Source organism: Homo sapiens, chromosome 7 (genome assembly GCF_000001405.40).
Source record: "Homo sapiens chromosome 7, GRCh38.p14 Primary Assembly".
NCBI lineage: Eukaryota > Metazoa > Chordata > Mammalia > Primates > Hominidae > Homo > Homo sapiens.
Window position 1 is genome coordinate 107,397,134 of NC_000007.14, and position 15,513 is coordinate 107,412,646.

Consider the following 15,513-nt stretch of genomic DNA (forward strand, 5'->3'; position numbering starts at 1 on the left):
TAGCTAGGCTGGGCATGTGACTCAAATCTGGCCAGTGAGACATAAGGACATGTTGGCTTAGGCAATTTGGGGAAGGATATTATAACAACACCTTTTGACTCACAACTGGCTCTGCCCCACCTCTGTACCTTGAACACAGACATAATGGCTACCGGCATGACAGCTATCTTGTGACCATGATGGGACAAGCAAAAGCACACTAAGGATGATGGAATGGAAAAAAGAAAGGCCTGAATCCTTGTTGAATAGTTGAAACAATGTTAGCACCACCTACACCCAGTCAAATCTGTTGGTGTAAGCCACTATTAATCTAGCTTGCTGTTAACAGTTCATACAGCCTCATCCAGCACCATCATTGATTGAAAGACAATATATAAAAAAATACATGGGCCCATAACAATAATTTTTAACAGATGAAAAACAAAAGAATAAAATCACATCTCATCTGCTACCTTTGGTGGTGACTACTGTATCAACTCATTACTCTATAAAGTGGTAATGACAGTGAAATTTCTAAGTATTTATATATCATTTTCAAAAGAAACTGCAGTTCAGGGTAACCAAATATGCACAGTTGATGAGTTAAAGTTCTTTACAAAATAATCGCAGCTAGTAAACACAAGGAATAACAAAAATAGAAAATCACACTTTCATAATCCCTAAGTAATTTAAGAAAAAGATTTAGGCAGAAATCGTTGATATTAAAACCATTATGGGAAAGACTGACAGGAAATTAAATAACCTCAAAACGCAAAGGTATCCACAAATTACAATGAAGGATTAAATGAAAGAAAAAAAAAGGTCTTTTTCAACAAAAGGTGCTCAAAAAACTGACTTTCTCTATGGAAAAAAAATAATTTTGCACTGTACATAAAAATTAAAATGTAAAATTCTAAAACCTCTAAAAGAAAACATGAGACAAAAACTTTGTAACCTTAGGTAGGCAAAAATTTCTTTCATAATATACAAAAGAAAACATGGATAAACTAGACTTTATCAAAACAAAAAATTTTGCTTTTCAAAAAGACAATATCAAGGGAGGAAAAGACAGCATTATTCATAATAAACAAAAGCAGTCTACCAACTTATCAAGACACAAGCAAAATGTATATATCCATAGAACTGAATATTATTCATCAATGAAAAACAATGGACTATTTATACATACAATCAGGAGTTCCCAACGCCCCTGGGCTGCTGACCAGTAAGAGTCGGTGGCTGTTAGGAACTGGGCCACACAGCAGGAGGTGAGCGGCAGGGCAGTGAGCATTATAACCTGAGCTCTGCCTCCTGTCAGATCAGCAGCAGCGTTCGATTCTCATAGGAGTGCGAACCCTATTGCTAACTGCACACGCGAGGGACATAGGTTGTGTGCTCCTTATGAGAATCTAATGCTGATGATCTGAGGCGAACAGTTCATCCCAAAACCACCACCTCTGCCCCCACATGTGTGGAAAAACTGTCTTCCATGAAACCAGTCCCTGGTGTCAAAAAGGCTGGGGATCACTGCATACAACAAAATGGATCATTCTAAATAAAAGATTGTGCTAAGTGAAGAAGCTAGATACACAAGATTACCTGTCATATGACTGTATTTATATAAAATTTTCAGAAAAAAACTAAGAAGACAGAAATTATAATCTATCAAAATTAGTAATTGCCTGGGTTTGGGGGTAGGAGGAGGAACTGACTACAAACAAGCATGAAGGAACTTTTGTATGATGATGGCAATATTCCAAAACTGGTTATGAGATGGTTGCACATCTGTATAAATTTACTAAAACTTGGCTGGGCAAGGTGGCTCACACCTGTAATCCCAGCACTTTGGGAGGCCGAAGCAGGGAGATCACCTGAGGTCAGGAGTTCAAGACCAACCCTGCCAACATAGTAAAACCACGTCTCTACTAAAAATATAAAAATTAGCTAGGTGTGGTGGCATGTGCCTGTAGCCCCAGCTACTCGGAAGTCTGAGGCAGGAAAATTGCTTGATTCCAGGAGATGGAGGTTGCAGTGAGTCGAGATCGTGCCACTGCATTCCAACCTGGGTGACAGAGCGAGACTCTGTCTGAAAAAAAAAGTTAAAATAAATAAATAAGTTTACTAAAACTCATCAAACTATACATTAAAAGTGCATGATAACAGAAAAAAAGGAAAGACACAGAAGAAAATATTTATGATATGGTTTGGCAGTGACCCCACCCAAATCTCATCTTGAATTGTAATCCTCATACTCCCCATGTGTAGAGGGAGGAACCTGGTGGGAGGTGATTGGATCATGGGGGTGGTTTTCCCACTTGCTGTTCTCATGATAGTGAGTGAGTTTTCACCAGACTTGATGGTTTTATAATGGGCTCTTTCCCCTTAGCTCCACACACACTCCTCTCTCTTGCCTGCCACCATGTAAGACATGCCTCATCCCCTTCTGCCATGATTATACGTTTCCTGAGGCCTCCCCAGTTCTGCGGAAATATGAGTCAATTAAACCTCTTTTCTTTATAAATTACCCAGTCGTGGGTACGTCTTTATAGCAGTGTGAAAACCGACTAATTCAATTTACAATGCAAAATTTGATAGAAGACTTACATCCAGAATGTAATAAAAATTCTTACAACTCAGTAATGAGAAGACAACAAACCCTTCAAAAATTGAACAAAAACCTTCACTATTAAGCAGTTAAAAAGTTTGTCACATCAGTAGTTATTAAGAAAATGCACATAAAAAGTACGAGAACCTCCTACACACCCACTAAAATGGCTAAAATTAAAAAGACTGCTAACATCAAATGTTGGCAACAATCTGGAGGAACCAGAACCCTCAACTACGGATGTGGAAATGTAAACTAATAGAACCACTTCAGAAAACTGGTATTCTCTTTAAAAAGTAAACATAATAGTCTTTGCAAAAATCTAACCTTTTTTTTTTGCCTTAGGTATTAACCTAACAAATGAAAATATAAGCTGAAACTAAGACTTGTACTTGAGTGTTAATGCAGCTTTATTTACAATAGTCTTAAAGTAGAAATAACCTAAATGCTCATCAATAGGTGAACGTATAAAGATACTTCCATAAGTAATGACATAATAAAAGAGGAACAAATTATCAATGCACATAACATGCATGAATCTCAAAATAATTATGTTGAATGTATAAAGCCAGATAAGAGGAAGAGCACACTGTATAACTCTAATTATGTAAAACCATGGAAATGCAAATTAATCTATAAAGACAAAAAGTTGCTGCCTGTAATTTTTCTGAATTACAAAATAAAATTCTAGTATTTACTACTATAATAACACTCCAGCACAAGAGTGTTTAAATTAAGTAAAATCATATAGATTTATACAAGTACAAACACAATTTTGAGAAATTTTTGAGAAGCAGAAAGCAATTACACATAGACTAGAGTGACTACCAAATTTTAATCAAAGAGCAGTAACAGAATTCTATATGAAATACAATAAATTTAGTCCGTTATTGAAAAATTATTCACATGAATAACTGAAATGAAATGCATTCAGTGAACTGGAAAACTATGGGAAGTAATAACACCAAAATACCCTAAGTCTAAAAGCAGACAGTTAATTAGATGTAAGTCCACACTGCAAGATGGCAATAAAATAAAATAATAAAGTAGCCAATGTTATTGTGGATTGTTCACAACAAGAGAATTTGTCAAAGAATATGAAAATAACATGACTGCATATAGAAACTAGAATAAAAGTCATACTTTACATTTGGTGTAAAACAAAAGCATACAGAAATGCCGTATGGTAATTGACACATCGTAAAAGAGGAAAGGGTAGACAGAGAGAAAAAGAGTAGGAGAAAAGAAAAGATGAAAGTATCTGCCAAGAAAATCAATTATTTAAAGCAGGGATCAGCATATTTTTTCTTTAAAGTGCAATACAGCAAATAGTTTAGGCTTTGCACACTACGTATGCTGTTTGTTTTTGCTTTTTTCCAACCATTTAAAAATATAAAAATAATTCTTAGCACTGCGGCAACATAAAAAAACAGGCCACGGGCTGTAGTTTACCAACCCATGATTTTGGGTGTTATGTAAGAGTTCAAATTAATTTCCATTCAAATTTAAGGATAAAATAAAAAGGACATGTCACACAACTAACATTAAGCTTTAGAGAAAAAAAATTTAAATGATTAGTTTTAAAATATCCTTTTAAATTATAAAAGCTATGACGGTACATATTATGTAACTATTATTAATAATGATATACAATGTTATCTCTAAAAAGAAATTGCCGAAGAGTAACTTTTAAAATTATTATTTATACATGTCATAAAGTTTATTTAATTGAATACCAATGTACTCCACATCAGGTCTCCATTAAATCTAATGAAAGCTATAGTGATGGGAACAAACAGACAAATATATGGTGAAACAACAGCAAATTATCATTTGAAGGTCATAAAGGAAATACGCGAGCTCTTACTACATTCATTCTTTCAAGTTGTTTACTGTGTGCCAAGGAACAAGTTTTGAACAAGAGGGGAAAAATTACTGAAACTCTAGTTAGTGGTAAAAACAATACTGGGACCAAATATACAAAGGAGTTTACACAGGCCCAAATGATGGGCTCTGTTGTATAATCCATGAGACAAGTCAGAAAAACAGCTAAATATATAAAAGCTGTACCTTTTAAAGCTAGGCAAATGGTGTTTGTTGGGTCATAAGGGAAGGAAAACATCCCAAAACAATTGCTTGCTGCCTGCAGAACTACTATCGCAAACTACAAAAGGAATCACTGTGTTCAACTTTAAGAGGACCTTCTTTTTGAAGCTTAAGATAATGCTTAACTTCCATAGAGCTCACTGAACACAATGCATTTGAACTAGTATCCTTGCTGTACCAGAAATAATTCAGAATTTTTAACTGCAAAAGTGAAAAGAGCTCATAATATCAAAATTTCTTACTGTATACTATATAGATATTTATCTACTGAACTTCAATTCTACATTATTTTCTTAGAGTAGCTAGGTCTAGGTCTAGGTTCTCTAGAGCTGGCTTCTCTAAGGTTGTCATGGTACTTTTGGCTGACAGTTGATAAGCACCAGGACCCTAGGCTTGACCAAGAAGGTCTTCTGCTTTAGGGAAAAGGCAAGTTCATGAATACTTAGTTACTATCACTAGCAACAATTACCACAGGGTCGAGATTATAGCCAGGTACCAAGCTCTGAAAGAAGTGAACACAGAAATCCTCTTTCCTGATGACCTCTAAAGACAAGTAAACACATTATCTTCCTCCACCTTGAACCTCCAGAAAGTCTCATACTTGTTTACTGGGAAAGCTTCTAATTCACAAGGTAAAGTCATCTTCCTAATTAAAATGTCATCATTTTACTGTGGGGGACTGGTATCTATGGTGACGCAGGAACTGATCCAGATCACAATTTCTACCACCTATTTTTGAAAGCTAGTTAAAGCCTGAGGTAATGGAGTCTGTTGTAATCCTGAAAAAATAAATAAACAAATAATGTCCTCTCCCTTTCTTTGTGTGACTTCTGTCAGTGAAAGATTGTATGGTGAGTAGAAAAGAGAGAAATGGGAACCAGGAAGAGCTGCAGGTGGATGGCATATCTAGTCGCATGCTGTGACAGACTGCCTATAGAGTTGAAAAATGTTTTTTCTAATATGATCATATTCTGTGCATCCCCAGAAGATGTGCTCTACATCACCAGTCCTTCCAAATTTTTCCAAAGAAAATGGTAGTGATATCACTATAAATCTTTCCGATACAGAAGTAATAAGACTTTTGTAAGGTCAGAAGTTTATTTATGTATTTTTCGTGTAGAAAGAAACAATAGCTCCTCCATATCTAAACAGTCATTTAGTTTATAAATCTGAAAATAGACATTTTGCAATATGATAGTATTTTATAATACTACAAAGCTATTTAAAACATACAAATAAATACAAAACACTTAGGCAATTAACTAGGAAAAAATAGTGATGAAAGAGGTTATTTGCATTTACTAAAACAATTTTGGTTTGGAAAGGAATGCTAAAAAAAGAAATTACACTAACTTTCTTCTAATAAATAGTTGCTTCAGATAACAAAGGAATAGCTATTATATTAGTCTGTTCTGGCTGCTGTAACAAAATACCATAGACTGGGCTTATAAACAAGAGAAATTTATTTTTTGCAGTTCTGGAGACTGGGAAGTCCAAGTTCAAGGTGCCAGCAGTTTGGGTATCTGATAAGGGCTCATGTTCCTAGTTCACAGAAAGACACCCTTTTTTTTTTTTTAAATTATACTTTAAGTTCTGGGATACATGTGTAGAATGTGCTGGTTTGTTATATAGGTATACACGTGCCATGGTGGTTTTGCCGCACCCATCAACCCGTCACCTACATTACCTATTTCTCCTAATGGTATCCCTCCCCTAGCCCCCTAACCCCAACAGGCCCCGGTGTGTGATGTTCCCTTCCCTGACAACGGACACCTTTTTAATATGATCCCACATGGCAAAAGGATAAGCAGCTCTCTCAGGCTCTGAGTAAAATGAGGGGTAGAAGGAGAGGGGAAGGTAGATAGTAAGTGCAAAAAGTCTTTTATAAGGGCACTAATCCCATTCAAGAGAGTCCCACCTTCATGACCTGTTTACCTCCCAAAGGCCGACCTCCAAATAACATAATTTTGGCGGTTAGGATTTCAACATAAGGAGAATTTAAGGAGGATGCATTGGGAACATAGCAGCCATAAAAATGAAGTGACAATTTATCTGCAAATTACAGTTAGGTGACTCTATTATTATTATTATTATTATTACTATTTTTATGATTTTAGTAAGGGCAGAATTCAATGAATAGAAACATCACCCATTTCTTTAACATGATTCAACAGAAAGTAACAATTTAGTTTTTAACAAAAGATCTCATTGAATTATCAGTCAATAACCAAAAATCTAAAAATCACTGAAGACAATGAAGATGGAGAATTTTTAGTGTTATTAAATACTACTAATTTCACAACTGGTAAAGATAGCACTAAAGACTCATGCTATTTTAACTTTTACAATGAACTGATATTGAAAATGATGGGCATCAACTACATACTCAATAAGAGAGGATCATCAACACTTTTGAGGAATCAAATTAATGTCAGAAATTAATTATTAAATGTAACTGATAATATGATGTAATTTTTCAAAAGTTCCTTGTTTACTGAACATCTATTCAGGCTAAGAGCCTATAAACTAAGTGCGTAATCATTCATGAATGCAATAGTACTTCAAAGTTAAAATACTGTAATTCTTTTAGTCTATATTTATAATAAACATTATACATTTATTTTAATCTCTGATACATGCGAGAATATAATTTGAGGATAAAATACATATAAGCTGTAGCATCTGTTCTAACAGGGAGCGTGAAGCATATTCCAGGCATAAAAAGAGTACCAAGGCCCTAAAGAAGAAAGGAAAATGGGATGTGAACGACTAATAGAAAGCTTGTGAGACTGAAAAGCAGAGAACATATGAGGAGAGTAGCATAAAATGTGCACGTTTAAATGTTGATGAGAAGGAGACAGTATAAGGGAAATGAGGGATGGAAATGTCAACAAGATAAGGTTCTAAGAAAATAAAAAATAGGATCTAGAGCAGAGGTGGTGTGAGAGGACTCTCAGTGAAGCAGGAATTAAGGACATCTGCTCAGAGTAAAATGGGGGTATGGCAAGAGAAGATGGTTGATGGAAAGTAAAGAGAGCGTAAAACAGTAATTTCAGAAGATGAAAAAAAAAAAAAAAAAAAAAAACAGTTGGCCAGAAAACAAAAATTCTGAGGAATGCTGAAGGACCAGTTTAGATTAATCATCAAATGGAGACTTCCTAAAAAAAAATTTATGCTATAAAAATTCCCTTTTCAATACAAATTGCTTCACAAATTGTCAAATAATTTTCAATATAATTATTTAATAAAGTTAGAATAAACTGCTTGGTCTTACTAAAGAAGGGGGAAGCAGGAGCTCCAGATCATGATTCTATTACTTGCCAGCTATGTAATCTTCAGTTAATTTCCTAACCTTTCCATCTCTTTGTTTCCTTAACCATACAGAAAATGGATAATTATATCTTCTTCACAGATCTGTTACTGCAATTGAGATAACAAATGTAAAGTGACTAACACAGAGCCTGACAAAGAACAGAGACTGAACAATGGTTCGTTTCACTCTTAATTCCTAAATTGCCTGCTGACACAGCTGGATGACACCTCTGTCTTGTTGCTCTCTGAGAAGAAAAGGCACTAGCTCCCAAACACAGGCTCTTTCTACTACGACAGCCTGCTTCCCAAGAAGCTTTATCACAGTGACGTGATTATTAAGAGTTTAATCCTCTCAGCTCCACAAAACCTGAAACTTGACTTTGTGAGAAAGCCAGGTCTGAGGAAGACAGACACACACAATTAAACTCAGAAAGATGTTACAAACACAAATATCAATTTATACATAAGAAATACAGTAAATTTCATGAACTGAACCAGAATGTTAATACTGGCAGATAATACATTTTCTCCCTTTAGGAAAATTACACAGCAAGCTGCAATAGTCTGAATGTTTGTGTCTTTCCTCCTCAATTCATATGATGAAATCCTAACTGCCAAGGTGATAGTATTAGAAGGTGTGGCCTTTGGGAGGTGACTATATCATGAGGGCAGGGCACCCATGAATGGGATTCATGCCCTTATAAAAGAAGCTTGAGGGTGCCTTTGCTCCTTCTACCACATGAGGACACATCAAGAGGGCATCATTTGTGAATCAGAATGTTGGCCCTCAGTAGATACCCAATCTGCTGGCACCTCCAGCCTTCAGACTTCCCCAGCCTCCAGAACTGTGAAAAATAAATTTCTGTTTATAAGCCACCCAGTTTATGGTGTTTTGTTACAGCAACCCAAATGGACTAACAGAGGAGCCAAATTGTACTCAGAAGGTTACTTTATACATCTAAATAAGACAAATGAATTGGATAATATTAAGGGATAATGTCAATAAACTATGATAATATGATACATATGGCCTTACAGGGAGAAAATACTCCCCCTCCACTGAGCAGAACCTATCCTCCTATGAACCATGCTGAGACATACAACAAAATTATAGTTCCCTGACTCCTATTTTTCTAAGATCTATGCAGATCATTCTACACCTACCCGTGCAGACACACATTACTTTTATACTTTTGTCTTTTTAATCTGATTTATTAGAAATAGGCCACTGGTTAAATAACAACAGTCATCTACTTTGATAAATCTTTTGAATAAATTTATATAGTCTAAACAGATAACAAAACTATCAATATTTAAGGAATACTAACTTCCTAAAAGTTTGTCAGTCTCTTAATTTTTAATATGAATTTAAAAACCAAAGAAAAGTCAAACTTGACAACTGGTAAAAATGTGCACAAGACAATAAAATATCTAATATATATTTATTTAGAAACAACTAGGCTAGAAAATACTTTCTTACTTTAAATATAAGAGAATTAAATTAAAAAACAAAAAGCCTTTAAAAGTAACCATTCCTTTTTGACATGTTAAATTTATCCAACCCTATTGAAGATAATATTTTGGTTTCAAAAACGTTGGTACTGTTTCCCTTCTAGAATTACTTGGTTTGAGTCCCATGACTCTAAAATATGATACAATTTTAAGAACTGCATAAAGATATATACAAATGTATACATCAAAAACATGTCATAGATGCAAAATTTTAGGTAGTATATATACATAAGGTTTCCCATTAGATTAATACAAAAGGCTTATGACATTGCACTCCCTGAAATACAAATTGCCATCTTTCTCACAACTAAACAAACTATGCTAATATCAATTTTCTGTAGAAATATTCATCTTTATTCAAGGTTGACTTGGAATTCCTTAAGTATTTCTTTGAGAAGTAATTATCAAAGAATTTGATAATTTGAGCAATCATCCTTCAAAAGAAACATTAGGGCCAGGCACGGTGGCTCACGCCTGTAATCCCAGCACTTTGGGAGACAGAGGCGGGTCGATCATCTGAGGTCAGGAGTTTGAGACCAGTCTGGCCAACATGGCGAAACCCCGTCTCTACTAAAAATACAAAAATGAGCTGGGTGTGGTGGCACGTGCCTGTAATCCCAGCTACTCGGGGGGCTGAGGTGGGAGAATCACTTGAACCCAGGAGTCGGAGGTTTCAGTGAGCCGAGATCGTGCCGCTGCACTCCAACCTGGGCAACAAGCGCAAAACTCCATCTCAAAAAAGGAAAAAGAAAAATAAACATTAAGACCATCATCTAGTGTTTTATCCAATTATTTAATATTTAACAAATACTTATTGAGCAATTCAAAGAATGGGAAAACAGAGATAAAAGATATAGTACTAGGTCTTAATGAACGTCAATCCAGTGAGTACATCAAAACATATATATATTATAACAAGTGTGATAAATAAAATGCTCAAATATAATAAATAACATTATTAAGCATCTTCTTTTTTTTTTTTTTTTCAAAGGTGCTATTATAACCCTAAATAGAGGTTCTAAAACCACCCACAAGAATCAGGAAAGGCTATTTGGGGAAGTTAAGGAGGACAAAGTTGGGTAAAGAATGAATACAAAACAAACAGCCAGGTAAATTCGACCAGTAACTGTGTTCAAAGAATATTTAACATTAAATGCAAACCACAGAGGCTGAACAAACCTGTTATGTTCAGGGAAACAAGGGACAGCCATAAGTGTCATTTGGGGATGTAGCAAGATGGCAAAAAGCAAATGGGGTTACAGTTTGAGATTTATAAAGAGCAAAGTTGTTGAAGAATTTTAAGTAGCAAACGGACATGACTAGATATGCCTTATATTAAGATCACTGTGGAAGCAGTATGAGTATTAAATGGAAATCAGACACTAATAGAAGACTAATACAGTAATCAGGATGAGAAAGCTAAGGTATGAAACAAGAATACAGAAACAATCAGAGTAGAACAGGAGTCAACAAACTATGCTCGTGGGACAAATCTGGTTTATTGCTTGTTTTTGCTAATAAAGTGTTAATGGAACACAACCACATTCATTCATTTACATATTGTCTATGACTGTTTTCCTGCCTCAACAGCAGAGTTCAGTAGTTATAACTGAAACTAAATGGCCTATAAAATCTAAACTATTTACTATCTGTCTCTTCGCAAAAAGTGTGCTGGTCCTTAGATGAGCTGATTTCCAAGTTTTCCAGTTGAATAGTGGTGCTCCACAGCAGCTAACAAACACAGGAGAAGATATATTTGACAACTCTGTATTTTAATATTCTGAGTTACAGAGTCTTTATGATGGTCTCATGGAATAATGTGGATGATACTAAGAATGAGCTTGCTCAATATACATTCTGGCTTCCTTTTAGTATGTGTTTGCTGTAAAAGGGTCCAGATATGACTAATGTTCCATTAACTATAAGAACTTGTTTGACATTTAGATGGCAGAGGCTGTACTTTTCCTACTTCTGTTGTTTTCCCTGCCAAGCTTGGTCATAGAGTGTTTGGATTTCTTCTATCAGCTCTAATGGGGCCTGGTGTATAGTCCCTAGCATTATGAGTGCCAAAAGGCAGAACAGGGGACATCTATTTTGCTGATCTAGATCTTGTCAGAGGAAATATGGCTCTGAAGCTATCAAATGCAATGAAGGTTATATAAAACACCAGTGGGCAGTTTCCTGACATGGAGGTAGCAATATGTGCCCAACTTGCCCAATTCTCCACAGTTCAGTAGTTCTGAGAGGCTCAGATTATGGTCTTTTTCTTGAGCCCTCCCAACCATATCCTATAATAAACCCCTATCTACTAAAACTTGCTAAAGTAAGTTCTGTTCTCTATAAGCAAACTTTAACCAATACAAGCATCCTGCAGGCAGGGCAGGAAGCTATAAAGATTTGGTGTTTACAAAAAGAGATCTTGGAAGCAGATTGAGATTTTAAAGTTATCAGCAAATGGGAATATACGAGATCATCAAGGAAAAGCATTTAGAATAAAAAGTGGTCACACAGAGAGAGCACAAAGATTAAGGAAGTAAGCAGAAATTGTTACAATTATGAAGAAACCAAAAAGCAACGTCAAGGAAAAAAAAAAAAAAAAAGAAAACAGGAGAGATTGAGATAAAGAAACGAAGAGAAGAAAGGTTGTCAAGAAGTTGAAATGGTTACCAATATCAAAAATTTGAGAAAAGAAAAAAAAAGTCCTTTGGGAAACTGGGAGGTCACCCAGCAGTCACCCAGTAGATTACTGAAAGTAATCTACTTTCAGTAGATTCATTGAAGAAGTCATGTTAGAAGCCACAATAGTGTAGACTGGGGACTATATGAGAAGTCAAGAAAAGGAGACAGTAAGAGCAGCTTATTCTTCCAAATAGTTTGAAGTAAACAGACTAGGAAATAGTTACATAATAAGATATAACTAAGTAAACAGTTAACATTGAAGAATCCTTTTTCCTTTCAAGTGAGAGAAATTTTAGTATCTTTGTTTGCTGCTAATAAAAAGGAAAAGGTTGAAGATTCAGATAAGCCAAAAAGCAAAGTAAAGAAGCAGGGCAGAAAGGATGGTGTGGAATTAGCCTTAAATAGGAAGGTTAGAGATCTGATGGAGTTGTGTCCTTAAGAATGAACTTTGCATGAAGTCAAAAACATGCATGCCTTGTGACCTTGATTTTCCTTGTAAGGAGTGTGACAAGATCATCTCATGACAATGAGAGAGAAGAGACTGGAGGTTTACAGTGAATAAAGAAAATCTGAAACAACCATCTGTGAAATGGAAGAGGGAACTGGACGTAATAAAAAAGTAATTGAAGCCCAGCTGCATCTAAGAATCATAAATTTTAGTTACAACAGTCTTACAGTTGTCTGTTTTGTTTTGTTTGTTTTGTTTTTGTTTTTTAAGAGCAATGAAAAGACTAGGCATAGAAGTAAAATAGGGATAAATGTTGCATGGTCCACAGATGGCATTTTGCTGTGCAGGAGTAGTAGAAAGGCAAGGGTGAAATAATTTGAGGGTATCATCAAGGGGAATACTTCTTGGTACCAGATCTACTGAATCAGAAATTCTGGGTGTTGGGCTCAGCTATCTGTGTTTTAACCAGTCCTCCCATCAATTCTGATGCATGGTGAAGTTTGAGAATCATCAGTTAGGTGAATAGTTGAAGAGACACATCTTTGATCAATTTAATATAAAAAAATAAGTAGACCCAGAGAAGGGGACAGACATGAGGTTGACAGAGTAGAAAACCATCGAGTAGTAAAGACATTTATGCTGTAGATGAGTTAACAGACTGATGGGTTCATTTTGTTTTGTTTTTGAGATGGAGTTTTGCTCTTGTTGCCCAGGCTGGAGTGTGATGGCAGGATCTCGGCTCACCGCAACCTCCGGCTCCTGGGTTTAAGCAATTCTCCTGCCTCAGCCTCCCGAGTCGCTGGGATTACAGGAGTGCGCCACAATGCCTGGCTAATTTTGTATTTTTAGTAGAGAAGGGGTTTCTCCATGTTGGTTAGGCTGGTCTCGAAATCCCAACCTTAGGTGATCTGCCCGCCTTGGCCTCCCAAAGTGCTGGGATTACAGGTGTGAGCCACCGTGCCCGGCCAACAGATTGATGTTTTAGGTTAATAAAAGAATTATGAGTTATAACAGGAACAAGGGAGTGGGAGGGCAGAAAAAACAGGAAGCTACAGTCAAAGGAAGAGACACTGGAGACTTAGACCAAATGATACTAATGACAATATTCAACGTTGATAAGGAGGGAAAGATTCTGAAATAGGATGGAAGGGAAGGGCACTAGACTCAAGTTTGGGCTAGTAGATGTCAAACGACTGTGAGCCCAACGTATGAGAATAACCATCTCCATAGGTATTGGTAACATCCAGGATGTGGGATTTAGAATGGAGAGAAAACAGTACTGCTGAAGTCCTAGAGATGGGAGACACAAAAGGATTAGGAGATGAAAACAACCATATGAGGAAGAGGACAATATGTTATAGAAAATAAATTCCCTGCATAAAATCCCAAAGAAGGCATAATTCATACAGGATGGAGGGCTACAGAGTCAAATCCAGCGGCCACTTCTTAGGAAGGTAACTGCCCTTTCTTGTTTTGAAATTCAGGGCAAAATGTTTGATTAATAGAGTTATCTTTCCTTCTCTTTTGAAGATCTAAAAAAAGGTATCTTCTCTTACTTAATGTAGAGAAATACTCTTTTTTTTTTTAAACGGTGTAACAGTTTCATCCTTACAGGGAGACCTAGAGTTAAAACATAATTGACCAAACAACTAAAAGTAATCTCTAATGTTAGAAGTTAGAATAATAATTATCTTTGGGGAAGCCAGAAGAGAGTAAAAATTGTGAGAGAGGGTAAAGAAACTCTAGGAGTACTGATAATGTCCTATTTCTATCCTGGGTTTTGATTTCACAGGTATGTTCACACTGTGGTATTCATTCTATATGAAAGTTTATGATTTGTCCACTTTTCATTTTGTATATGATATTCAATTTTAAAAGAAAAAGTACCTGATTCAGTTATATTTTAAAAATTACAACTATTTAGGAATCAGAAGTCAAATAAGTACCTTCTTGATTTAGAGGCTTAAGAACAGCACATTAATAACATTGTTTCTGTCCAACATAAATGCACAAAATGAAATTCCTGATTTAGAGGATATGAAAAAACTCTATTAATAATTATATTGGAGCCCAATACAAACGGAGAAAATATCTGGGTATAATACAAGGGTAGATCTAAGATCTAATTCTAAGTTGTTGAATCTAATACATCAATACCTTTGAATTTCTTCCAATTCAGAAAATTAAGCATCAGGAAAATGATACCTTAGGAGAAATGTCAAGTCAAAAATTTTTTAAATTATGGCATAATGATTAAGAGTGCAAAGTTCTGGGACTAGAGTGATTAAAATTTGAATCCAAACTAAATAATTTACTAGCTATGTGATTTTCAACAACTTATTTAAGCTCTGTTTCTTCAACTGCAAAATATAATTAACAATAATACCAATCTTACTGGGTTGTTGAAGGGCTTAAATGAGGAATCGTGCTTTAGACAAAGCAGGCATGGTCAGCTAGTTATCTATCTATATATGCACATCATAAAAAATACATTTCATGTTATATACATTATACATTAGAAACATTAGGTCTATTTTTAAATTAAATATATTAAACATATATTAAAATTTCCCTTAACGATGACCCATTCTTTGATTTAAATTGTAGACATACTTTCTCAGTGATATATTACTATAAGACATATATTACTTTTTTGAACTCAAAGTCAAATGTTCACCTGTATTATGACACATTTTTTACATTAAAAAACAGTCTTATTTTTATTACCTGAGTCTCCAAACCCTGCTCTAGTAGGCGCTTAGCTTGATTTTCCACTTCAAGTCGGGCTCTTGCAATAAAAAGTAGATCATTTTCTATCACTTCTATTCCAGAAAGATCTATTCCTTGAGAAAGATAATCTGTTTAAAACAAA

General features: G+C 35.3%; 1 protein-coding gene across 10 annotated transcripts in view; it reads right to left on the reverse strand.

Moving 5' to 3' along the window:
- COG5 (component of oligomeric golgi complex 5) overlaps positions 1–15,513 on the reverse strand; it is a 362,549-nt gene that overhangs the window by 195,762 nt on the left and 151,274 nt on the right. For 8 of the 10 annotated variants that reach the window (NM_001379511.1, NM_001379512.1, NM_181733.4 and 5 more), the window contains exon 7: positions 15,369–15,499. The exons of the other annotated variants lie outside the window; for them this stretch is intronic. In NM_001379511.1, the coding sequence (NP_001366440.1) occupies positions 15,369–15,499 (131 nt within the window). The remainder of the gene's footprint in view (positions 1–15,368; positions 15,500–15,513) is intronic. 10 annotated transcript variants of the gene reach the window in all.